The following is a 27896-nucleotide window of genomic DNA, read 5'->3' on the forward strand; positions in this document are numbered from 1 at the left end:
GAACATCAGAAGCTCAGAAAGAAAATAGTTATGGTATCACTGTTCTTTCTTTTCCTTTGAGTGTTGCTTCGTATTTCTTTACTTTCAGGCTGTCTTCCCTGATCTCATTTGTTCATTTTTGTCCGTTCGGTGACCTTTCTGCCCATACTTGACATTTTCCTTTGCTCTCTGTCCCTTTTACCCTGTAAGTCACCACTCTCCACGTGCCATGTGCCACTTCCTTTTCATGGGACACATTGCTGGGATCTGTTTACTGGGTTTGAACCAAAGGATTAGTTACTTTTGGTGGAGTGGCAGTGTATTAGCGAAACAGAACTAATAGGTGTGAACCCAGAAGGCAGGACAACTCAAAGCGGGGAGGGGGCTTCCAGGTCATAGGTAGATAAGACACAAATGGTTGCATTGAGTTGCTGATTAGCCTCTCCGGAAGGAGGCAATCAGATATGCATTTATCTCAGTGAGCAGAGAGGTGACTTTGAATAGAAGGGGAGGCAGGTTTGCCCTAAGCAGTTCCCAGCATGAATTTTCCCTTTAGTGATTTTGGGGGCCCCAAATCACTTTCCTTTCACACGGGGTATGTATAAACATATAAAAGGAGATTTATTATAAGGAGTTGGCTTACATAATTATGGACGTTGAGAAGTCCCACCATCTGCTTACTGCAAGCTGGAGAAATAAGGAGGTTGGTGGTATAATTCAGTCTAAAGCTGAAGGCCTGAGAACTGGAAAGGGATTGAGGTGCTGGTGTCTGAAGGCCAGAGAGCAGGAGGAGATGATGTCCCAGCTCAAGAAGAGAGAGGTGAATTTACTTTTCCTCTGCCTTTTTATACTATTTGGGCCCTCAATGGATTGGATGGTGCCTACGCATAGTGGTGAGAGTGATTTTCTTTACTCAGTCTACTGATTCAAATGCTAATCTCTCTCTCTTTTTTTTTTTTTTTTTTTTTTTTGGACAGAGTCTTGCTCTGTCGCCCAGCGATCTCGGCTTACTGCAATGTCTGCCTCCTGGGTTCAAGCAATTCTCCTGCCTCAGCCTCCCGAATAGCTGGGATTACAGGCATGTGCCACCATGCCCAGCTATTTTTTTTTTGTGTGTGTGTATTTTTAGTAGAGAGGGGGTTTCACCATATTGGCCAGAAACACCCTCACAGACACACCGACTAATAATGTTTTCTGTTGTCTGGGCATCCCTTAGCTAGTCAAGTTGACACATAAAATTACCCAATACAAAGAGAAATATACATTTCATGAAAGCCTACTGTGTACCAAATATTTTTCTCTGTAAATCTCATTGAATATTTTAAAATATTGGTATTAAGTGCATAAATAATACATAAACATCTTCTTCTAAACATTTAATGCATTACAGTGTTAAAGGAAAAATTATTCAGTGATACTTGTTAGAGCATGGTAAGGGAGACCTTATTCAGGACCAGGAAAGGTAAAGAAACCACTGCAATGAAGTCTTGCTGTAGGGATGAGAGATTGGGCTGAACTCTGAATACAGAATGGGCAAGTGGGAATTTATAGTCAAGGAACTTTTTTTGGAGTTTGGGACGTCGATGGATTGAAAATTACTAAGGGGAAACATCAGGCTTAAGGCGGATTCTGGCTAAGTCAACCTAATAGGATTCTTGCTGAAGACAGGCCAGGTTGATCAGACATCACCTGGGGCGTGATGGAGGATGAGGACACTGACCAGGTATTAAGGATGGTCAGATATCAAGGATGGGGGCGTTCCTGCCAAAGGACTTAGAGTTCTTTGCTAACAGTAGATTTTACAAGGAAGTACGCCGATAGCCCTAGGAGAAGTTTCAGAAGCCTGACAAGTTTGGCGAAGAAAAGAGATTTTGTCAATGGATAAAGCTAATGACTTTTTTTTTTTTTTTGGGACGGAGTCTCACTCTGCCACCAGGCTGGAGTGCAGTGGCACCATCCCGGCTCACTGCAACCTCGACCTCCCGGGTTAAAGCGATTCTCCTGCCTCAGCCTCCCGAGTAGCTGAGACTACAGGCATGCACCACCATGCCCAGCTAATTTTTGTATTTTTAGTAGAGATGGGGTTTCACCATGTTGGCTAGGATGGTCTCAATCTCTTGACCTCCCGATCCACCAGCCTCAGCCTCCCACAAGTGCTGGGATTACAGGCATGAGCCACCATGCCTGGCCGCTAATGACATTTTTACCAACCCTGGCTTCCTCCTCTCTCTCCAGAAGTTAGCTGTTCTTATGACCCTAATGTATTTATCTTCCAGATATTTTTATTTTCATGTGCTGTGTACATATGTATCCACAGAAAGTACATAGTATTATTTTCTGTGTACTTGTGTGTATACCTGTGTGTTCATGTTGAATTCTTCCATTTGTTTTCTCTTAGCAGTGGGCCTTGGAGATCTGTTGATAGCGGTAAATAAAAATCTCCCTTATTCCTTCTGCTTTCTGCATAACATTCCATAGTCTGAATAGCAATTTGCCTGTTGAAAACATAAGTTTTTATAATTGTTGGGATTACAAACAATGCTATAATGATCACCCTCTTTGTGCGTACATGCAATGGTACTCTGAGACGGATACTGAGAAAGAGTATTGCTGGGTCAAAGGTTGCACACTTTTAATGAATACTGCCAAGTTTTCCTCCCAAATGAATGCACCTGTTTACACCCTTAACAACAGTATACAAGATTTTTTCCCTGTATCCATGCCCTTACCTCATGTTGCCGGAATTGTAAATCTCAGCCAGTTTAATGGGCAAAAATAATATCTAATTGTTTTACTTTGCCTTCCCATCGTTAATGGTGAGACTGAACTTTCTTTCATACATTTGTTGGTAATTTGTAGTTTTCCTGTGAGTTTTATTTTTATATTGGACTTTTTGTTTTTTTAAATTGGTTGTTAGATGTTCTTTATGTATCCTAGATCCTAATGATTTTACGTATATATTGCAAGAGATATATTAATTTTATGTGTCTTGACTAAGTTCATGAAAGCCTGCTGTGTATAAGATGTTTTTCTCTATAAATCTCATTGAATATTTTTAAATATTAATATTAAATTAATGTTTTCCTTAACTTTCTAGATTATTGTCTAACTTTGTAGTATTAAAGTTTCAAATCTGATACACTCTTTCCCCCGCTTCAAATTAGGTGTTTTATTTAAGAATATCTTTTCTGCACCAAAGTCATAAAGGCTTCTCCTGTATGTTCTTCTACTACTTTTTGCTTTTCCTTTTTATGGTTAGATTTGGAATTTATTTTTGTGAATGATATAAATTGGGGATTCTAATCTAATATCAGTGGTAATCAATTTCTACTTGGAAAACATGGAGTATGAGATATTTACATAATAGAGGATATATTTACATACAAAAGATATATTCCATATGTGATGTGATCAGAATTCTGTCAGCGCAGTTAGCTGGTCCTTCATTTGTCAATGATTTTTTGAGTGACTGCTCTTACAAGACACTGTGGTAGGTATATGGAACAGAATGGAGAATAAGAAAGACGTAATATCTGTTCTCGATCTAACTTTCAACTGGTGTGTGTGTGTATGATATGAAGGAGTTGGGGAAGAAGAAAACAGTTTAAATAACTTACGCAATTCACTAACTGTGGTTATTTAATTATGATTAATTAAATTAATTATAATTATTGTAAGTTCTCCAGAGAAATACAGAGTGCTACAAGAACTTGTTACTGGAGGTCCTAATCCTGGTGGTGGTGCTGTTAGAGAGGTAGTTAGGGAAAGCTTTCTTGAATAGTGACATTTGAACTGAGTCTGTGGAATGCCTGGGCAGGATGAGCCTGGGGGTGAGGTTGGGAGATGGGGTATAAACCAAAAAGTGTCTGAGACAGACCTCAATTGATTTAGAGGTTTATTTTGCCAAGGTTGAGGATGCACCGTGGAAAAGTAGACACAAGTTGCAGTAGGATCTGTGGCCTGTGCTTTTTCCAAAGAGGACTTCAATATTTAAAGCAGAAAGAGCAGGCAGGAGAGGAAGGAGGAAAGAAGAAAAAGGGGAGGGTAGGCACCTAGCAAGAAGTCCCATTCTTGTGAAGCTCTGACCAGTGCTCAGCAATCCACATTTTACATCTGAAAAGAAAGTAGTGGGGACAAAGTCAATTATGCATAGATCTGCATTTTCTATGAGGTAAAGTAAATGTGAAGTAAAGTAAATATGCCTAGAAACAAAAGGAATTTCAGAAACACATGTGTTTAGAAACAAAAAGTATGTGTTTAGAAACAAAAAAAAAAGGAAGGCAGTTTTTGCGTGATTTAGCTCCCAAGCATAGCTTTTCCCTTTGGCATAGTGAGTTTGGGGTCCCAAGATTTTGTTTTCCTTTTACTGAGGTGAGTAAAAAAGAATACTTGAAGTAATGGGAAATAGTGTATACCACAGCTCTGAAATGGGAAGGAGCCTTGGTGTACTGGAGAAACTGAGAAGAGGCTGGTGTGGCTGCGGTCTGACAGCAATAGAGGAATTTGTGAGGCCTGATATTGTGGACAGAGATCAGACCTAATAGACTAATGGTCTTATAGGCCAAATTAACTGCTGAAATTAATGAGAAGCTGGTCAGGTATGGTGGCTCACACCTATAATCCCAGCTCTTTGGGAGGTTGAGGTGGGTGGAACCCTTGAGCTTAGGAGTTCGAGACCAGCCTAGGAAACATGGTAAAACCCTGTCTCTACAAAAAAAATGCACACACACACTCACACTCACTTAGCTAGGTGTGGTGGCATGCATCTGTCATCCCAGCTACTCAGGAGGCTGAGGTGGGAGGATCACTTGAACCCCAGAGGTAGAGGTTGCAGTGAGCCGAGATCGTGCCACTGCACTCCAGCCTGGGCAACAGAGTGAGATGCTGTCTCCAAAAAATAAATAAATAAATAAATAAATAAATAAATAAATAAATAAAATTAATAAAATTAATGGGAAGCCATTGGAGATTTTTTATTAATTAAGCAACATGATTAGATATGCACCTTTATAAGATCTTTCTGGTCACCGAGGAGAATGGAGGGGACCATGAGTGGATGAGGAGAGATAACTTAGGAAGCTATTACTGTAGATCAGGTACTTGGACTAAAGCAATAATAGTAGATATGGAGGGCATTGGGTTATTTCTTTAAAACTATTTGATGCAGAGCAAAGAACTAATTGTTAGAAAAATGGTTATTGTTACAAAAATTGTTAGGAAAATAGGATAGAGAGAGGTTATTTTCCAAAAGTTGAAGAAATGGCAGGGATAATTAGTAATAGTGAAGTGAGCTCAGCTGAAAGTGTGCATAGGAGTTCCACTCTCCTAGTTATTCAATCCAAGTCTGGCTGAACACCAAGTATAGAAAGTGAATCGTTCTGGAAGAGCTATTTGTACATGACATTTTTATAATTAGAGTCATTTAGACTTGCAAGAAGAATTTGTAATTCTAAGTGACCTGGTGGTGAGCCACTTGGTCAGGCACTAGATTAGATACCTGGATAAGTATATAATTATCTGCATTCAAATGTGTCTATATTATACTTTATATTTTCTCATATTTGATTTTTACACTCTGATCCCCAAGTTAGCTGGTCATTTGTGAATACCATGGAGTCATAAGGTCCTGATAAAAACAGAGGTGGCTTTAGAGATATACCTTAAGGAAGACAGCAGGAGATCTAGTCTGAGACACGTTGAGAAAAATGGTCTGTAGCTGGATAAGCTTGGAAAAGACCATATACTCTATCCTCCTTTTGGAAATTTATAATGCATGTGAAGATCCCTAGAAATGAAAAACAAAGTCGAGTTTATTACTTGACATGTAAGGGAGAGCTATATCATTCAATGTGATGGGAGTGAGTCTTTCTGAGTTAAAAGAGGAAAGATGAAATCTAGGATAAGAACTGGAAGTTTTGCTTCAATAAGGCAGGATCTTGAAGACTATCACTGATTGGTTAAGTAGAGGATTGTAAAGTAAAGTATTATTTTGGAATGACAATTGCTCTGGTTTTCAATAATTATGGGACAGGTCTTTTTTTTCTTCCAACTTTTATTTTGGGTCGAGGGAGTACACGTGCAGGTTTGTTATAGGGGTAAATTGCTTGTCAGTGAGGTTTGATGCACAAATGATCCCATCACCCAGGTAGTGAGCACAGTACCCAGTAGGTAGTTTTTTGATCCTCACTCTTCTCCCTCCCTCCACCCTCAAGTAGGCCCCAGTGTCTGTTGTCTCCATGGTGTCCGTGTGTACTCAATGTTTAGCTCCCACTTATAAGTGAGAACATGTGGTATCTTGTTTTCTGTTCCTGCGTTAATTTGCTTACAATAATGGCTTCCAGCTCCATCCATTTTGCTGCAGAAGACATGATGTCATTCTTTTTTGTGGCTGCATAGTATTCCATGGTATATATGTACCACATTTTCTTTATCCAGTCCACCATTGAGGGGTATTTAGGTTGATTCCATGTCTTTGCTATTGTGGAATAGTGCTGCAATGAACATATGTGTGCATGTGTCTTTATGGTAGAAGGATTTATATTCTTTTGGGTTTAAACCCAGTAATGGGATTGCTGGGTCAAATAGCAATTCTGTTTTACATTCAAGAAATCTCCAAATTGCTTTCCACAGTAGCTGAACTAATTTACATTCCCACCAGCAGTGTATATTCATTCCCCTTTCTCTGCAACCTTGCCGGCATCTGTTATTTCTCTTTTACTTTTTAATAATAGCCATTCTGACTGGTATGAGATGGTATCCCGTTGTAGTTTTGATTTGTATTTCTTTAATGATTAGTGATGTTGGGCATTTTTTTCCTTGTATTTGTTGGCCACATGTATGTCTTCTTTTGAGAAGTGTCTGTTCATGTCCTTTGCCCATTTTTTAATGGAATTGTTTGTTTTTTGCTTGTTGAATTGTTTAAGTTCCTTATAGATTCTGGATATTAGACTTTCGTCAGGTGCATAATTTTCAAATGTTTTCTCCCATTCTGTAGGTTGTCTGTGTACCCTGTTGATAGTTTCTTTTGCTGTGCAGAAGCTCCTTAGTTTAATTAGGTCCCACTTGTCAATTTTTGTTTTTGCTGCAGTTGCCTTTGGAGTCTTCATCATGAAATCTTTGCCAGGTCCTATGTCCAGAATGCTATTTCCTATGTTTTCTTCTAGGGTGTTTTATAGTTTTAGGTTTTATATTTAAATCTTTACTCCATCTTGAGCTGATTTTTGTATATAGTGAAAGGGAGGGATCCAGTTTCAATCTTCTGCATATGGCTAGCCAATTGTCCCAGCATCATTTATTGAATAGGGAGTCCTTTCCCCATTGCTTGTTTTTGTCAACTTTGTTGAAGATCAGATGGTTGCAGGTGTGTGGCTTTATTTCTGGGTTTTCTAACCTGTTCCATTGGTCTCTGTGTCTGTTTCTGTATGGGCACAAGTCTTAATGAATTCCAAGATAGGATGAATAAAGCTATGCTGGGTTCAAGGTCATATAGGAGGTACTTTCATACACATATGCTTGAGATTTGGAAATTTTTTTTTCTAATTTAGTGTTATGGATTCTTAGAAGTTCAATAGTGAAGGAACCTACTTAATCTTTTCTAACTCTGCATTCCCCCCACCCAGTTTGAATTCTGAGTCCTGTTTATGAATATCCTGTGGCATCATGAAAACACTGCTATACTGAAGTGTGTGTATTTTCAAAAACAAATTAACTCTAAAGTTCATTGTTAAAGATTTGTTTCAGGTCTATCCAGGTGCTCAACTTTGTCATTAAAGTTATTGATACTAGAAAAATAATATCCAGGGATCTGGGTAGGTTGTTCGTGATATTGTTTGAATGGATCTTTGTGTAATTCCTTACTCTTCTGGAGAAAAGTAGAATAGGAAAGACATTTTGGCTTTAGAGACCTGAGAAACAGTAGGGTACAATGTGAGGTCTCAAGTTCTGTCTTGTCTCTGTGGCCACGGCTCCTTTTCTTTAAAACAGCACTCTACCTTCTCTGGACACTGGAGGCTGCCCACAATCTCCTTCATGTCTTTGCCTCCCCTGTAGGTGAAGGAAAGTCAGATTTTAGGCATGGTTCCCTGAAAGTCTTCTTGTAATTCATATCATTCTTGATGTTCAGGAGGCTTCACCGTTGGATAGACTTCTGTAATTCTAGGATTTCCAACTCCGAGAACTAATACCCCTGCAGACTAATACCCACACACACACAAATGCACACACACACACACACAAACACACACGTTTTTTCCCGGTAGAATCAGTACCAGGAACATAGCGTGGTACATGATATCAATATATCAGTAAGACATAAACATGCATGAATAAATGTTGTCTATTTGAAGTTTCATGAATTGAAGCCTGGTGGTATTCTCATACCTGTTCTTCCCCCCTTCCTCCTTTTCTTGGATCTGCCAAAATGTTTTTATCCTACCCTCTGTCTGCCATTAGACATGAAACCCTTAAGGTCATAGGCTAGGCCCAGAGAAACTAATATTTATGAGATTTGAAGGCAAATTTTTAAAAACTTTTTTAAAATAATAATATAACCCAGATGTTCCAACACCTCTAGATTTAGGTTACCTTGAGTACTTGCCCAAGCCCCTGCAAATGTGAAGTGCTTCCTAAAATTTCTGCGTATTCTGTGGCCATCTCTGTGAGATTCTCTATGGGCTGTTTCTAATCCAAATTATGTCATTCCAGACATGAAACGTTATTCCTCCTTGACTCACACACAACGCACACATATATGAATGCATGTGACATGCATGTTCTGTTCATACATGCATTTGGTAATATAGAAGACTTTACTGAAGGTTTGAGGGGGAGACAGATTAACATTGTAGAAATGTGACTTCAAACTGAGCATTAGGCATCCCCATTCTTAAACTGCTTTCTAGGTGCCCTGACGCTGGGGAATTTCCACTGACTTCTTCCCACAGACTCCTCTGCTTTGCTCCATTTTGGGGTTCCTTTTTTCTTCCTTTCTCTGTCATTTTCTTTTTTGAGAAATATTAACTATTACCTTTTTTTCCTCATTCAGGGCACTCTAAACCATTCTTTGATGACAGAGCTCATGATAATATTGATGTCCTTAGGTTCTCTCTCTTCCTTTATCTCCAAATGATCTATTTCTCCTGCACAGCTCCAAGACAGTTCCCTCTCTAAGAGAAAATCAGGTACAGCAGTTGAGATAATAATATTTTTGCCTCATTACATTTTGTTTTGAATTTTCAATTCAATATTAAAAGGAATGTGTGCAGTGTTGATGAAAGGAGTCAAACTCTGCAAAATATTGGAAGAGATTTATTCTGAGCCCAATATGAGTGACCATGGCCTGTGGCACAGCCCTCAGGAGATCCTGAGAACATGTGCCTAAGGTGGTTGGGGCACAGCTTGGATTTATACACTTTAGAGAGACATGAGACATCAGTCAGATACATTTAAGGTATACATTGGTTCTGTCCAGAAAGGCAGGACAACTTGAAGTGGGGAGTGGGGGGCTTCCAGGTTATAGGTAGATTTAAAAATGTTCTGATTGGCAATTGGTTGAAAGAGTTACTATCAATAGAAAGGAATGTCTGGGTTATGATAAGGGGTTGTGGAGACCAAAGTTTTATCATGCAAATGAAGCTTCCAGGTAGTAAGCTTCAGAGAGAATAGATTGTACATTTGTAAATGTTTCTTATCACACTTCAGGTCTGTGTTGATGTTAAATGCTGGTTGGCTTTTCCTGAATTCCAAAAGGGAGGAGGGCATAATGAGGTGTGTCTGACCCCTTCTTCCCGTCATGACCCAAACCAGTCTTTCAGGTTAACTTTGGAGTGCCCTGGCCAAGAGGAGGAGTCCATTCAGATGGTTGAGAGGCCCTTAGAATTTGGTTTACAGCAGTAATTTTTTTTTTTAGTCATAGTTTTAATGGTCTTTTAATGCTAGTTTTTCTTTACTGTTGGGAAGAGACATATCTAATACTCATTATCACAAACTGAATCACCTGCATCATCATTCCCTAAAAAGATATCTTGCCTGAAGACAAGGGTCAGATCAGTAGGTTTGTAGCCTACTTTGAGGGACTTTGCACACTAACCCTGAAACCAGCCCAATTGTTCCACACAAAAGATATTTATGGATTTTTAAATGAACACAGAAATTGACACTCTGTCTTAAAACCTGAAACTTACATTTGTCTTAACTGAGTTCCTTCCTCAGGAAACTGACCCTCAGGCAAGAGACTGAAACCCACTAGATCACCAATCCGGACAACAAGATGCCAGGCCCCTCATTCATCATGATGGCTTCCTTACCCCTCCCTAATTCCTATTTTCTCACCTTACCAGCTCTTCTTCCTTACCCCTCTCTAACTCCTATTCTCCCTCCCTTCCACTATATATAAACCTCCCAAATTTAGTTGGTTGGGGAGATGGATTTGAGACTCTACCTCCCATTTTTCTTGGCTGCAGCATTCAGTTAAAGCCTTCTTCCCTGGCAATGCTCAGTGACTCAGTGATTGATGTTCTGTGCAGCAAACACCAGGACCTGACTGAACCCTGGGGGTTTTGGTGACAATCCTACATGTGAGCCCTGAACTTCATGTAACCTTGGGGCTGCATTTTCCAGTAGGAAAGTGTTTCTAGATATATTGGCTCTGAGACTTTTCCTAGCTTCCTAGGTACATGGTCTACTTATATTGGAGCCCAGAAACTGCTGTAATCCATGAACTGCAAATGGAAATTTTTTACAAGATGTTCTCAAGTTTTGGTATTATCTGAGGATGAACACCTCTAAGTTTATCTAAAAATTTGTATTATTTCAAGATGGAAGTCCCCTTATTGAGATATTATCAAACAAAAAGCTGATTCATTTCAAATATTTTGGAAGGACCATTAGAATTATTAGAAGTCTGTAGCGTGCTTCTCTCATGATAAAGATGATAGGAACTAAGAAAATGAGATGTGGAATGTTTTATGTTTTTGACAAGAAGATGAGGCAAAGAGGGTGGTCATAAAAAAAAAGATGGTGGTCATAAATAAAGAGGGAGACAGGATTCCTTATACATTTTTAAAGTTGTTGACATTTGTCTCTGACCTTAGTGGTTTCTACTTTCAGTTTGCAGTTGACAAGTCCAGAGTTCTACTTCATGCATCTGAGGATATACTGGGACTTCCTTGTTGAAGAATTACATTGTTTCTTCTCAAGAAAAACTCCTAGTTCATTTACATGTAACAAGTTCTCATGGGAGACCTTAACCATCATGGTTTGCTTTTGCATCTTTATCTTACTATAGCATTGAATCAGAACTTCTGGGATTTGGGGGGAGCCTGTTTTACCAAACTTCTCCAAAATCCTCTCTCAACTTTCATTGTTTTTATCTGCATTAAGCTCACTTTGATGTGTTGCATGTTTTACTTTGCATGACCAGTCTTTGGGCAAGTCATTGCCTTTCTTAAGGCTCCCTTCACCTCCTTGTTTCTAATAGTATAAATAAAGGGATTCAGAAGGGGGGTGAGGATAGTATTTAGCACAGACACCACCTTATTAATCTTAAAGGAGGAGTGTGCTGTGGGTCTTAGGTACATGAACAGAACAGCCCCGTAGAGCAGGGAGACAACTGTCAGGTGCGAGGCACAGGTAGAGAAAGTCTTTTGGTGGCCAGTGGCTGAAGGAATTCGTAGGATTGCGGACAGAATGTAGATATAAGAAATCATATTAAAGAGAAGTGACCCTGGGATCACAAGGATGGTTGCTATGACGCCCAGGAGTTCCAAAATGCTGGTGTCTATGCAGGCGGCTTTCAAACTGGGCCCAACATCACAGTAGAAATGACTGATAACATTATTGCCACAGAATGGCAACTGGATGAGCAGCATCGTCTGACAAAAGACAATGGTGAAGCCCACCACCCAGGAGCTCAGGGCCAGCTGCAGGCAGAGTTTGCTGGTCATGATGGTGGGGTGGTGAAGGGGATTGCAGATGGTGAGGTAGCGGTCAAAAGACATGATAGTGAGGATCAAGAACTCGGTGGTGCCCACGAAGAAGTGGAAGAAGGCCTGCAGCAGGCAGCAGGACATGCAGATTACTGTTCTTGCCACTACAAAGGTTCCTAGCAGTTTGGGGATGACTGTGGTGGTGTACCAGATTTCTAAGAAAGACAAGTTACAAAGGAAGAAGTACATTGGAATTTGTAGCCTGGGCTCAGCCCACACAGTGGCAATAATAAGCCCATTGCCTGCAAGGGTTAATATGTAGGTGAGAAAGATTGCAATAAAGAGAGGTGTTTGTAGGCCTTGGATAACAGGAAAGCCTAGCAGGATGAATTCTGTGATTACTGTGCCATTTCTCATGTCCCTTGATACCCTAGAAAGACAAGCAAGAAAGCTCCTTAGAATCTTAGAGCACAGTTGATTATAGTTGGGACAAAAAATAAGGAGGATTCTGACTATGTAAGGTCCTTCGGGACCTGACTCTATTTCAGGTCCTCCCTCACCCACATACAAATACGCACTGGCCACCCCTTCTTTACTGATGATTTGGCTGGTTCTTTTGTCAGCAAAACCAGCTTCTAATGGACTTTGAATGTATTAAAAACACTTGATGAATGCAAAGTGTTTTTTCACCCTTATACAACTATGAGAATAATCATGTGAAATGTGGTTGCTTCTTGTCAATTATTCATATAACTATTTTCAATGCATAGTGTGTATACCAACTTATGTACGTAAACGTGGCTGTGAGTTCATAAGAAATTAATCCCTATTCTCAGAGTCTGAAAAAGAAGTTACTGATTACATTACAGATACGTTTAAGGAAGCCATTATTGTGTGTGGGTGTGAGTGTGTGTCTTAAAATAACCCCAAATCATTGCTATTATATTAGTGGTGAGATAAAGTTAGATAACAGAAGAGGTGTTTTTCTGAAGAATCCACTTCCACATTCTAGTTCAGACTCCTTTGCTAAAGGTATCAAAAATAACATTTAAAACTAAATGAATAAAACTGTTTAGGAAGTAGAGAAATATTCAACTCAAATTCAAAATTTCAGAACAAGCTGAGTCAAAGCCTGTTATATGGAAGCACCTAATAAATGTACATGGGATAAAGATCTGCAGACACTAATCTACAAAAGTGAAAGGTTAGCAAATGCTAAGGATAACAAAATGGGAACTCTGAAAAGTACATTTTTGTCAAAATTTTTTTTGTGACTAAATGTCTTTTTATACCAAGTAAAGTATTTCTATTTGTATATGCAAATTCATGGGCTGAGAACATCCTTTCTGTTCTACCAAAATTCAGTAGAAAATAGTAAAACTACTTCCTTTCTTATTGAGGCTATTCTTCCATGTGGGTTTCCTTTGAAATGGGTGAGACAAATTACTGTGAAATGAATTTCACATTTTTCAAAGTACATAAGAAGCTTAGCATGAAAGAGGCAACTTACAGGTCATTGATAGGTTGTTTCATTCTTCCCTCATGTGAGATAACTGTAATTCTCTGAGGGCTTGCTTAGGGAAGAAAAACACTTCCATTTTCTCCCACCTCTTTTCTAGACCAGGAAAAGATTCTTTGTCTACAATGTCACAAGCTCTAGTGCCTTTCCACAAAACGATGAGAGACAGAGAAGTATTTGAATTTGCACTAATGGCCAATATAACTGGCCACGAACGTGATCTCTTTATATAGGATAGATATGGAATTATCTTCATTCCCCATGCAGAGAAGAGTGGCAATCTCTATAGCTCAATATAACATTTCCAAGGGCTACACATTCTACCATTTGGAGAATTAGACCTATGAATTCCACAAGCATTTGTTGAGAGCTTACTATGCTTCAAGTACTGCCAGGCAATTAAAGAGCTTATCAGATAGATAGATAGATAGGTGGATAGATAGATAGATAGATAGATAGATAGATAGATAGATAGATAGATAGATAGATAGGTGGATACTATATATAGTATAATAATTGCAACATGACTCAGTGAGGGAAAGTGTAGAGCTGTGCACAGATTGTTTTAGAAACACTTAGAAGGGGCTCTTCGCCCATCTTTAGCAGGGGTTAAGGAAGTTTTTCTAAAGAAGGAGAGGCCTAAGCTGAGTCCTAGAGTTCAAAAGGAAATGAAAGTGAAGTAAGGAGAGAGGGGGAATGCATTCCAGACAAGGATTCAGTTTTTGTGAAATAGAACCAGAGCAGAGAATTTCACTTGAGCTGGAGCTGGGAGTCAGGCTTGTCCTGGCACTTATGGTAAATTAACAGTTAGAACAGTTTACACGAGAGATTCATGAAGCTTTTGGAGGACAGAATCTTGAGTCACGGAGTTTGCAAGTGTGTGTGTGTGTGTGTGTGTGTGTGTGTGTGTGTGAAGTATGGTGTCAGCCATTCTCTGTAACACATGTACATGTGGATCTAAGCTTCATGGAGGAAGGGGCTGCAGGTGGTATGTGAATGACCTCTTTTGAGATTCTGGTCACAGACAGTACTGCCGTGGTATCCAGGTGACCATGTGGGACACATACAGGGGACAGACATACTCTCTCTGCTTTTGTCAGGAACATGGCTTGGTTTGGTAGCATGAGGGCCCAGGAGTAGCAGCAGCAGTGGCAGCAGAAATGATACCAGCAGAAGTGGCAGTGCCTGCTGAGGGGGCTGGTCCACAGCAGAAGGAATGCTGAGCAAGTAGAAGTGGCAGAAATGAGGAATCAGGCAGTAGCTGTCCTGACAGCTGCACGGACTGGGTTTTGAGCACATGAGAAGTTTTGTGAGATGCAGAGGGAGGTGGGGATGTCTCAAGTTAGCAGGTAAAAGCAATGTTCAGAGAAACACAGGAAAGCAACCCAAGGAACCTAAAGTTATAGAGCTAAGATGCTGGATTAAACACTGCAGTCTATATGCCTATTACAATTCAATCCTACACTCTAGACTTCTTCTTCCTTTTAAAAAGTCACAATGTATAGGGTCAAATGGATTCCTCCATATCCACCAGGGTCCAAGTCACCAGATCCTGTTAACTTTACTTCTTACTCACTCTCTAGTGTGTGTCCTTTCCGTCTCTCCCTGGCTCCGGTAAATCATGCTGTCATCTCCCATCAGGATTCGAACACAGCCTCCTAACAGGACTCCCTGTCTCCTGACTTGCTGTGCTCTTTCCTACCGATGGTTCAAACTGTAGCAAGGGGGACCATTCGAATTCTGACTACGCCACTCCTCAGAATCTTGAAGTTAACATCCCAGACTCCTCAGCATGACATTTAAGACCACCGATGATCTGGTCTTACCTACCTTTCCAGCATGATTTTCTGCCATTTGCCATTTTTCCTTCTGCCTTCTTCTATGCTCCACACTTACTGAATTACTCAGGTTTAGAGGTTAGCAAACTATGGCCCTGTTTTTGTAAAGTTTCACTAAAACATAGCCACACTCATCTGTTTACCTATTGCCTGTGGCTGCTTTTGTGCTATCATGGTGAAGTTTGGTAATTGTGACAGAGACCATATGACCCCCAAAGTCTAAAAGGTTTGCTATCTGGCCCTTTACAGAAACAGCTGGCTGACTCCTGCTCTAGTTCCCCAATTATGCCATCTTCTTTCTTGCCTCCCAGTCATTGCACCTGCTGTTCTCTTCACCAGAAATACCCTTCCCGACTTTCTCCATTATTTGGCTAAGTCTTGTCTGAATTCTAGATTTAAGTTTAGGAGCCACCTCCATGGGAAGCCTTCCTTAACTTGCCACCTCTAGTCCAGTTAAGGTGCTGCTCCTACACACTTTTCTAATGCCCTGTGCATATCTATACCTGAACACTTTGCAGAATTGTGTTTATTGTTTGCTTGGTGTCTGCTATAGACTCTAAGCCCCTTGCAGGCAGCAACAGTGTCTGCAGGGCCGAAGCATAGAGCTTGACACAAAATAAGCTCTCAAAACATAGTTTCTAAATGATTATATAAATGGATAGCTTGTTGACACTCTGTCCCCAGTTACCTAGAAGTTTATGGAAACTGACACATGCACATGTTTATACATGTCACCGTTTCCTGTATTTCAAGTGCTCAAGTCATATCATAACAGGGACTCTTTGCTAAATAATTTGTCTCCAAGTTTTCTTCTGCTTCCAACTTTTTCTGATGTGAGTTTTGCCGCATGAAAACCTTTCTGCTCCATCTTTCCCTAATCAGGGATATGCTGGTGTTTTGTTTTGTTTTTACTGTGTTCTGGTTCTTTTCCCAGCTTCTTCAGGCTGCCTGAGTACAGATAATTTTCTTAACTCATTTAATGCTCAATTGCTTGAAATTGTATTGAGTCATTTTTTTCTGAGTTTTGTTGTGCGATAAAGAATCCCACATTTTCTAAAACTTTTTATAGTTTTAGAAGAAGACAAAAAGAAGAAAAGTATTAACATATTTTCTTCTCTGGATAACAGCAAAATGTTCCAAGTCTTGTTTGTTTATTTATTTGTTTGTTTTTAAATTGCTGATGAAGACCAATTTCAATTTTCAAGACTTTGATTATGGAATAAATTTGAATATGCCCAGTGGTGTAGAACTCTAAAACAGAAACATTAAGTACATATAGAATAAGCTTCACAAAGAGAAATAAACCAAGATTCATCACTCAGGGGACTTGTGCTAAGCTGAAACTTGAATGAAGAACCAATTTGAAATTCCTTTCAAGGACTGATGGTTCTAGGTAAGATGTGGTGAATAAAGACTGCTTTTCTGAGGAAGATCCAAGTCCAGGTCATTGTGATGACTTTTCTACATGATACCAAAATTGATTTATTAGGATTTACTTTAAGACTTCAAGGGGTCAAGTCTAGCTGTATCAATTCATTCTAGAGAAAAGCAAAGGTTTTTCCAAAATAGTACTCTTTCTTGGTGACAAAGCAATACTTACAGCACTACTGATTTCCAGGAAAACACTTCCAGCCGCAAGGTGTGTCCTTGCCCACAGTAGACTGACAGAAAAGGAGAGCTGGGTTATAAAGGCAGTATAATTGGAACAGAAAATTTTTCTTTTTTTTCTGCACAGAAAATGAATCTCTTTTTCTATACTTTAATGCAAGTGTCCTTATGCATTACTGAATTGTATTCATAAAGCTTTCATGACATGGCAAGGTTTCTTCAGCATTTAGGAGAATTGTATTGAGAGTAATTAATTCATCTGTTCCTGCTAGGTCAGGATACCTTCTCTGAAAATAACAATTTGTTAGTGGGACATTTTCACAGGTTCCTATGAGACATCAGTCTGCATGGATTTGCTCCAGAGAGTCCCAGGAGATAGGGAAGTTCTCACTAAAAGTTTATTCACAAGTCAAGCTGAGGAATTTGTAGTTTTCTAAATTCTAATTGGTATCAATCATTCCTGCACTCCTGAGGTAATTAACCAAAGTCTGAGAATCTTTTAATTTTGTAAGTTTTTAGATCTTGGATTTCTCAGTTCTCCAAGAAGGAAAATTATTGACATCTTAATAAATAAATGGGGTCCTTTAATGAACTGAATTGAATCAAAGGTAGTCAATTTGGTCAATAATATAAAAATGGCCATGTATTCAGAAATGTGAGATTGAACAGAATAAAAATTGCATTCACTCACGCCTGTAATCCCAGCACTTTGGGAGGCCGAGGTGGGTGGATCATGAGGTCAGGAGATCGAGACCATCCTGGCTAACAAGGTGAAACCCCGTCTCTACTAAAAATACAAAAAATTAGCCGGGCGCGGTGGCGGGCGCCTGTAGTCCCAGCTACTCGGGAGGCTGAGGCAGGAGAATGGCGTGAACCCGGGAAGCGGAGCTTGCAGTGAGCCGAGATTCCGCCACTGCAGTCCGCAGTCCAGCCTGGGCGACAGAGCGAGACTCCGTCTCAAAAAAAAAAAAAAAAAAAAAGAAATTGCATTCAGTTTTCTTGTGAACTATCTTATGGGGATAAATGAAAAGACAGGGGCCTAAAGTATTGAGGGTCATGTAGAGAGTTCATGGATATTGCATGTGTAACTAATTATTGGAGAAGGCTCTCTGCAAAACAGGAACATAAGAGTTGGAATTGTAACTTGAAAATCAACGCTAATGAGGATGATTTAAGTAGAAATAAAATACATTCATTTTTAAGTATACAGTTTGAAGAGTTTTGACAGATGTATGCACACATGTAATCACCACTTCAATTAAGATGCAGAATTTTCCTAGCACTTTGAAAAAATTCTTTTGTGCTCATTTGCAGTTCTATCTCAGGACTCTCTCTCCCACCCCAACAACCGCTGTCTGATTTCTATGTCTGTAGATTAGTGTCATCTATTGCGTGATTTTTATATAAATGGAATCATATGGTATGTGTATTCTTTTGTGTCACGGTGCTTTCACTTAGCAAAATGTTTTTGAAATTCATCCACATTGTTAAGTATAAAAAGCTAATTCCTTTAAAGTGCTGAGTTTCAGGGTGCCATGGCTCATGCCTGTAATCCCAGTTCTTTGTGAGTCCTAGGGGGTTGGATTGCTTGAGCCCAGAAGTTCAAGACCAGCCTGGGCAACATGGTGAAACCAAGTCTTTACAAAAAATAAAAATTTAGCTGCGCACAGTGGCATGTGCCTGTAGTCTCACCTACTTGGGAGGCCGAGCTGGGAGGAATGCTTAAGCCCAAGAGGTTGAAGCCGCAGTGATCCATGATCGTTACAGTGCTCTTCAGCCTAGGAAACAGAGTGAGACCCTGTCTCAAAAAAAAAAAAAAAAAAAAAAAAAAGTGCTGAGTTTCCATTGTATGAATATACACGTCTTATTTATTCATATATTAGTCAATGAGTGTTTGGGTTGTTTTAGTTTTTACTATTATACATAAAGTCATGGTGAATACTCATGTAGGAATATTTTTGTGGGTGTCTATTTTTATTTACTTTAGGTACATGACTAAAAGTGAAATTCCTGAGTCATAAGGTCTGTGTATGTTCCACTTTTTGAGAAACAGCCAACCTGTTTTCCAATGAGGTTGCACCATTTCACAGGCCCATCAACTATATGAGAGTTCTAGTTGTTCCACATTTTCACCAACATTTGCTGTTGTCAGTTTAAAAAAATTAGATATGATAGTAGGGGTTGGATTTTCTCATTCTTAATTTAATTTGCATTTCCCTGATGACCAGTGATGTTGAACACATTTTCATATGCTTATTAACAGTTTCTGTATCATTTTTGTGAAGTTAGTTTAAATATTTTACCCACTTAAAAATAGATAATTTTTGTTTTTTATTATTGAGTCATACAATTGCTTTATTCTAAAGCAGGGCATGCACCTGTAATCCTAGCATTTTGGGAGGCTTAGGTGGAGGATTGCTTGAGGCCAGGAGTTCAAGACCATCCTGGGCAACATAGTGAGACACTGTCTCTACAAAAAATTAAAAAGTAGCTGGGCATGGTAGTGCACACCTGTCATCCTAGCTACTCAGGAGGCTGAGGCAGGAGGATTGCTTGAGCCCAGAAGTTTGAGGCTGCAGTGAGCCATGGTTGTACCACTGCACTTCAGCCTGTGCAACAGAGCGAGACCTCTCTCTAAAAAAAAGTTCTTGGCCTGGAGTGATGGCTCATGCCTGTAATCCCAGCACTTTGGGAGGCTGAGGCAAGTGGATCACGAGGTCAGGAGATCAAGACCATCCTGGATAACAGAGTGAAACCCCATCTCTACTAAAAATATAAAAAATTAGCCAGGCGTGGTGGCAGGCACCTGTATTTCCAGCTATTCGGGAGGCTGACGCAGGAGAATGGCGTGAACCCGGGAGGCGGAGGTTGCAGTGAGCCGAGATTGCACTGTGTGATCTCGCCTGTGATGGGAGGGACTGCTTTGAAGATTTCCAAAATTCCTTGAAAGCCTTTTCTCATGGTCTTGGTTGTTAGTGCTTTGCTCTATTTGAGTCATAAAATCTCTCTAGCAAGTGGCTGCTCTATAGCCTATGTGTATTTCTGTCTTGAAAATGCTTTTTCTTTTTCTACCACATGACCAGGCTGCAGATTTTCCAATTTTTTTCCTCTGCTTCCCTTTTAATTATAATTTCCAACTTTAAGTCATTCCTTTGCTTCCACATCTGATTGTAGGCTGTTAGAAGCAGCTACACCATATTTTGAATATGTTACTGCTTAAAGATTTCTCCACCAGATACCTTGGGTCATCATTCTTATGTTCAACCTTCCACGAATCCCTAGGACATGGACAAAATGCTGCCAAGATTTTTGCTAGGGCATAACAAGGGTGACTTTCATTCCCATTCCCAATAAATTCTTTATTTCAGTCTGAGACCTCATCAGCCTGGCCTTCACTGTCCATGTTTCTATCAGCATTTTGGTCACAACCTCTTAACAAGTCTCTAAGAAATCCTAATTTTTCCCTCATCTTCCAGTCTTCTTCAGAAACATCCAATCTCTTTCAACTTCTGCCTGTTATCCATTTCCAAAGCAGCTTCCCCACTTTCAGGTATCTTCATAGCAAACCCCACTCCTGGTACCAATTTTCTGTATTAGTCTGTTTTACATTGTTCTAAAGGAATACCTGAAACTGAGTAATTCATAAAGAAAAGAGGTTTATTTGGCTCACAGTTCTGAAGACTGTGCAGGAAACATGGTACCAGCATCTGCTTCTGGGGTGGGTCTCTGGAAGCTTTGACTCATGACATAAAGCAAAAGGGGATCAGGTGTGTCACATGGTAAGAGGGGGAGCAAGAGAGAGGAAGGGGTACCATACTCTTTTAAACAATCAGCTCTCATGTGAACTGATAGAGGGAGAACTCACCCATTACCATGAGGATAGCACCAAGCCATTCATAAGGGATCCTCCCCATGACCCAAACACCTCCCACCAGGCCCCACTTCCAACATTGGGGATCACATTTAAACATGAGATTTGGACAGGACAAACATCCAAACTATGTCAAGGATTACTATCCAAAATATATAAGGACGTCCTCCAACTCAATAGCAAAAAAACAAAAAACAACCCCACAATAATCTAATTAAAAAATGGGCAAAGGACTTGAGTAAACATTTCTTCAAAGAAGACATATGAAGGAACAACAGATATCTGAAAAGGTGCTTAATATCACAAACCATCAGGAAAATGCAAACCAAAATTATAATGAGCTATCACTTCATATCTTTTAGGATGACTACCATAAAAAAATAACAAATGTTGGCAAGAATGTGGAGAAGAGTAAACCTTTATGTACCATTGGTGGTAATGTAAATTGGTGCATCCACTGTAGAAAACAATATGGAGGTTCCTTAACAAATTAAAAAAACAATGACCTCATGATCTAGCAATTCCACTTCTGGCTATATCTCCAAATGAGTTGAAATCAGTATCTCAAAAATATATCTGCATCCTATGTTTATTTCAGCATTATTCACAATAGCCAAGACATGAAAGCAACCTAAATGTCCATCAATGGATGAATGGATAAAGAAAATACACACAATAGAATATTATTCAGTTTTAATGAAGAAGGAAATCCTGCCATTTGTGACAGCATAGGTGAACCTGGAGGACATAATGCTAAGTGAAATAGATCATATAAAGTACACATACTACATGATACCACTTATGTAATTAATCTAAAATAGTCAAACACATAAAAGCCAAAAGTGGAATAGTGTTTCCAGGGACTGGAAGGGAGAGGAGAACAGGGAGGTATTAGTGAAAATGTACAAAATTTCAGTTACACAAGATGAATAAAAAGTCCTAGAAATTGACTCTATAGTATAATGCCTATAGTTAAGAATCTTGTATTAATCCTTACCTGGCAGAGGTGATACCATGATCATGAAGGTGGTTTTCCCAGGGCGAGGCTGATCCATTCACTCTGGGTGTGCTGACTCCTGTGATTTCCCCAAATGTGGTAGACTTGACTGCATAATTTGTGGTAGTAGGGGACTGTGTTCATGCTTTCCCCTCAAGAAAACCAACCAAACAAACAAAAAAAAGCTGTATTGTATACTTAATAATTTGCTAAAAGAGTAGATCTTATGTTAAGTGTTCTTATAATAAACAAACAAAATGATAATAATAAATAGAGAAGGTTGGAAGAAACTTTCTGAGATGATGGATAGGCCTACTGTGTGGATTGAGGTGATGATTTCGTTGGTGAATCTTTATCTCCAAACTCATCTGCATGTTCACAAATCTCAACGAACACCAAACAATATAAACCAAAGCAAACTATACCTACACATATCATAATTAAATTACTGAAAATCAATGATAAAGGGGGGCTTTTCTTCCCTTCAGGCCCACCTTGTGGTTTTCAACTGCAAGAAGGCAAGCTAGCTGTTCAAACATGAATCTGGGCAGGAGGAGGGGAAGGGGCCTCTGTGAAGTTTTTGAATCAAGACTGTATATATTAAGATGTATACATTAATATACATAGTTTTTGTATGTCAATCATACATCAATAAAGTGGTTAAAAAGGAAGTTTTATATTTACAGTCATACTTACCACGTCCAGTGGCCTTTTGTGTGTGTGTATGTAGATCTGAATTTTGATTACTTTTTGGCCTCAAGAAATTCCTTTAACATTACTAGCAGTGAAGGTGTGATGACAAAAATTTTTCTGATTTTTTATGTAATATTTATTTTTGAAGAATGTTTTTAGAGGATATAGAATTCTAAGTTGATAGTTTATTCTCCCTTTTCTCATCTACTCCCCAGCAGTTTAAAGATATTGTTCCATTGCCTTCTGGTTTGTGTGGTTTCTAATGAGGCATCAGCAGTATTATATACGTCTGTGTGTACATATGTATGTGTGTATGTATATGTGTGTGAGTGTGTGTGTATATATATATATATATAGTGTTGTGTGTGGTTGTGTTAACCCTTAATTACTTTAATTTTTTATCATTGATTTTCAGTAATTTAATTATGACATGTGTAGGTATAGTTTTCTTTGTTTATATTGCTTGATGTTTATTGAGATTTGTGAACATGTAAATTTATACTTTTCATCCTATTTGGAAATATTTTGTCATTATTTCTTAAAAAATTTTTAATTTAAATATTCTTCCTCACCCTCTTTTCTGGTCCCCCTACTATGCATATATTAGGTTTCGTGATTTTGTCTCAAAGGCTGATGAAGTTCTCTTTTGTTTTTAGCTTTCCCTCACTCCTTAACCTGCAGTTTGGATTGTTTTTATACCAGTCTTCACATTCTTTTACTGTAAAGTGTTTAATCAGCTATTAAACTCATCCAATGAATTCACTTCAGCTCTATATGTTTTATTTGCTTCTTTTTCATATCTTCCATTTTCTTCCTTATGTTCACATTTTTAAAAAATCTTAGGCAATATTTATCATAGCTGTTTAAATTCCTTATCTAAGAATTCTATCATATCTATTATTTCTGAGTGTATTGACTAATTTTTCTCTTCATTTTGGGTCATATTTCCTTTTTATTTTTGTTCTGGTAATTTTTAAATGTATGCTGGGTATTATATATGTTGTCAAAGGTCAGGTGTGGTGGCTCACACCTGTAATTCCAGCACTTTGGGAGGCCAAGATTAGAGAATTGTTTGAGGCCAGGAGTTTGAGACCATCCTGTGCAACACAGTGAGACAACATCTCTCCAAAAAATAGAAAAAATTAACCAGGCATGGCAGTACATGCCTGTCATCCCAGCTACTTGGGAGGCTGAGATGGGAGGATTACTTCTGTCCAAGAGTTCTAACCTGCATTGAGCTATGATTGCACCACTGCACTCCAGCCTGGGTGACAGAGTGAGACCTTATCTCTAAAAAAAAAATGTAAAATAAATATTATTGAATGTTTGTTTTCTTCGTTTAAAGAGTGTTATAGTTTGTACTGCTAGCCTGCCAATTTATTTATAGATTTATTTGATTATTTGAAGTCTTGTTTTTAAGCTTTGTTAAGGCATATTAGAATAAGACTTTATTTTTAGGGTTAATTTCTCCTCACTGCTAAGGTATGAAATTTCTAAGGCACTGAGTGTTCAGTGAAGTCCTTCCACTGTGATTGGCTGGATTTCAAATGTCTAACCCTCATCAAGCTCTGTAGTTGTTCAGCTTTCTCCTCTCCAGTAGTTTTTCTTTATATTGATTCTTTGCCTGGGTTTGTGAAATTTCAACACATGTATGCGTGTACAGTTTATTACTTTTAGAGATAAACTAGAAGACATCCCTATGAAGTTTTCTGAAGCTCTTTCTCAAAGATTCCCCATTTTTGGTAGTCTGCCCTGCAGATTTCAGATGCTTCAGCTTCCTTGAATTCTCAAACCTGTCTCTTCCACATAGTGACAATGCTGTGCCCTGCTTGGGTTTGCCCTCTTTCCAAACTAGTGTCTAATAGACACTTCCAGGTAGAGAGGTTGGGTTATCTTTGAGCTCAACTAATTTGTTTTTCTTCTCTCAGGGATCACTGTCCTTGGCTTCTTCTTGTTCAATGTATGAAAACAGCTGTTTCATATGTTTTGTCTAGTTTTTAAAAGTGTTTATAGTGTGAGGGTTAGTCCATTAGAATTACTTTGTTATACCTGGTTAGTGAATTCTTCCAAAATATTAGAATAAAAATTTGAAAGTGTAGGCCCCAAAAGATGATTTATTCAGAATTGGAGAGACTCGAGATAGTTTAAAACCAAGGAAGACAACATGAGAAGTGAGGAAGATATAGAGACGTTTCCTATAGCAGAAGTTAAAGATGAATTACATATTCTAGTTATGTGTGTAGTTATTAGTGTGAGTTTTATTGCTAGTGTTATTGATATTATTTTGTTGTCATCTCTTGGAACACTCTCAATCAAATATTCTGTCTTTTTTTTTTTTTGTAAACGGCAACTTTCTTCTTCTGACCAAATTGGCCCTTTCTCCTCCTATTGAAGAAGGTATGGTTCTCTATCTTAAGAACTAAATGAAGGCCAGGCACGGTGGCTCACGCCTGTAATCCCAGCACTTTGGAAGGCTGAGGCGGGCGGATCACGAAGTCAGGAAATCGAGACCATCCTGGCTAACACGGTGAAACCCCATCTCTACTAAAAATACAAAAAATTAGCCAGGCATGATGGCGGGCGCCTGTAGTCCTAGCTACTCGGGAGGCTGAGCCAGGAGAATGGCGTGAACCCGGGAGGCAGAGCTTGCAGTGAGCCAAGATAGCGCCACTGCACTCCAGCCTGGGCGACAGAGCAAGACTCCGTCTCAAAAAAAAAAAGACAAATGAAACAAAACTTTGATCCAAGCTGTCTTGGATTTATTTTAAAGCAAAATTTCTTAAGTAATATGTAATTTATGTATTTCTTATATTATTTCTTTGACCATCTTTAGTTCCCTGAGATTTGGTTCCCATTTCATAATTTTACTGAATCTACATGCCTAAGAGCATACTTAAATTTTCTTCTTGTTTTTCAAAATCAAAGGGATTTTTGTGTTCATTTCTCTAAACCTATAATAGTCCATACTGCTGACTACCCCCTCTTTGGAGCTCTCTTTTCTCTTTCTTTTATAGCATTTCACTCTATTACCTTTGTCTTCTTCTTCCTTCTCCTTATTTTTTATTCCTGGAGGTGGGGATCTCAGTTTTTGTTAACTCATTCTTTCTTTTGTATAAGGCTAGCCAGCCCCAGTAATGACCAAAATATACTCAATTAGGTATCTTGTTTAAATGAGAATCCTGTTTAATGGGTAGAGTAAAATTATACCACCCCACTGAACTCATTTATATGTTTTGATTAGATAATCCTTTTGTCATAATATTGAGCTAACTTTCACCTATTTTGTAATATTTGAATATTTAAATATAGTTGCTAGATCATATATCTTGATGTAGTTCAGGTCCAGGAGTTTCAACAGAAAAGAACTTACAGCCCATTCATAATTAGAGCGTTTATAAACATATTTGGAAATTGAGGTAGTCCCTGAATGAAGTGACTTATAGGAAAGCACTCTGGAAGCTGAGAGAAAAATCATATGTGAGAAATCTGGTAAGGTAGGTGATATGGTTTGGATTTGTGTCCCCACCCAAATCTCATGTTGAATTGTAATTCCCAGTGTTGAAGGAGGGGCCTGGTGGGAGGTGATTGAATCATGGGGGTGGACTTCCCCGGTGCTGTTCTTGTGATAGTGAGTGAGTTCTCATGAGATATGGTTGTTTAAAAGTGTGAAGCACCGGCCAGGCATGGTGGCTCACGCCTGTAATCCCAGCACTTTGGGAAGCCGAGACAGGCAGATCACTTGAGCTCAGGAGTTTGAGAGCAGCCTGGCCAATATGGTGAAACCCCATCTCTACTAAAAACACAAAAATTCGCCAGGCGTGGTAGTGCACACCTGTAGTCCCAGCTACTCGGGAGGCTGAGGGAGGAGAATCACTTGAACTCGGGAGGCGGAAGTTGCAGTGAGCTGAGATCATGCCACTGCACTCCAGCCAGGGTAACAGAGCGAGAGTCTGTCTCAAAAAAAAAAAAAAAGCGTGTTTGTGTAGCACCTCCCCCATCTCTCTCTTCCTCCTGCTCTGGTCATGTAAGATGTGCCTCTTTCCTCTTCTCCTTATGCCATGATTGTAAGTTTCCTGAGGCCTCCCCTGTACTGCCTGCAGAACCGTGAACCAACTAAACCTCTTTTCTTTATAAATTACCCAGTCTCAGATAGTTCTTTGTAGTAGTGCCAGAATGCACTAATACAGTAGGTGTGGTTTAGCAGCCTGGGCTTAACTTTAGAGGAGACAGAGATGTTCCAGGTCCAGTGTGAGGCTGTGCTTGTCCACTCTCCTGACCCGGGGATCTTCCTCCTATTCTCCTGTGAAGTATTTGTATGTTCTGGGACTGAAAGAAGACCATGGTAACCACTGGAAGAACTTCGTCATTAGGGAATCAAAGAGCCCTAGGAATTATTTTAGGAGTACCTTTATAGCTCATCAGGCTGACTCATCTGGACATCATGATCAGAAGCAGGACTGGCGATTATATAGCAATATCAACATGTCCTTGTAAATGCTGGAGTATGTGGTCTACGGACAAATAAAAATAAAAAGTAAAATGCTTAATTGTTAAAAATTAAGATAGAGACTTCTCCCTTCTCTCTCTTCTTAAAACATTAACTTCAGGAAATTCATAATTATAACTTTTTTCTTTCTTTGAAATGTGTATAAATCTTTTTAGAAGTGAGATAAGTTTGTTTTATTTTTTTGCCAGCTTTATGACCCAGAAATGTCTTTCTCAAGGACCTAGGAGTCGTCTCTTGGAAATGTAAACATCAAGGGAGATAGTTTCTTTATTTCCCAGTTTCTATGGGAAGGTAGAAGCCTAACTTCAGAGGTACCTTTCTTCAGGTTGTAGAACTACTTCCTGTCATAAGATAAGTCTATTTTTCCTTTGTATAAAGCCAATTAGGTAACACGGATCATCACCCCAATTACCAGGTGAGTCTAGGATGAACTATGTGTGACAGATGGTGCTGTCAAGTCCTCTTATTCTTTATCTGGAAAACCTGTAAGTAATGAGTTGTGTCTGCTTGACTATATAAAAGAGTAAATTTTTTTTCCTGTCTCTGCACTCTTTTAGCAGATTGCTTGTGATGCACATCACATTTTGGTTTATTGCTTATTCAATAATAAAATTGCTTTATTTCTCTACTACCATTGTGGAAATGTTTTCTGGGCTGGGAGATTTTATTTTAAATTGTATTTCCTCAACAGTGGGTAATGGAAGATGTATTAGAGTTCTCAGAGAAACAGAACCAAATATATATATATTGGTTCTGTTCATATATATATATATATATATATATATATATATATATATGAATGAAGTGGCTTACATGATGATTATGGAGATCTAGAAGTCCCAGTATCTGCTGTCTACAAGCTGGAGAACCAGAAAAGCTGGCTTTGTAATTCATTTCCACCCTGAAGGCTTGAGAAACAGGGAAGCTGATGGTGTAGGTGCCAAGAAGCAGGAGCATCAA

General features: G+C 39.0%; 1 protein-coding gene and 1 pseudogene across 1 annotated transcript, besides 1 other annotated feature; one reads left to right on the plus strand and one right to left on the minus strand.

Moving 5' to 3' along the window:
- Positions 47-644: an enhancer, noted in NCBI's record as "OCT4-NANOG-H3K27ac hESC enhancer chr11:123612953-123613550 (GRCh37/hg19 assembly coordinates)". NCBI's record gives its function as "activates a minimal SCP1, AML or CMV promoter by ChIP-STARR-seq in naive H9 embryonic stem cells {active_cell/tissue: H9 hESC(naive)}" and the evidence as "EXISTENCE:reporter gene assay evidence [ECO:0000049][PMID:30033119]".
- On the minus strand, positions 11382-12320 carry OR6X1 (olfactory receptor family 6 subfamily X member 1). Its single transcript, NM_001005188.1, has one exon. It carries the CDS (start codon positions 12318-12320, stop codon positions 11382-11384), a length of 939 nt encoding a protein of 312 aa, NP_001005188.1.
- Positions 21729-21891, plus strand: RNU1-21P (RNA, U1 small nuclear 21, pseudogene; annotated as a pseudogene).

Source organism: Homo sapiens, chromosome 11, assembly GCF_000001405.40.
Source record: "Homo sapiens chromosome 11, GRCh38.p14 Primary Assembly".
NCBI classification, from domain to species: Eukaryota; Metazoa; Chordata; class Mammalia; order Primates; family Hominidae; genus Homo; species Homo sapiens.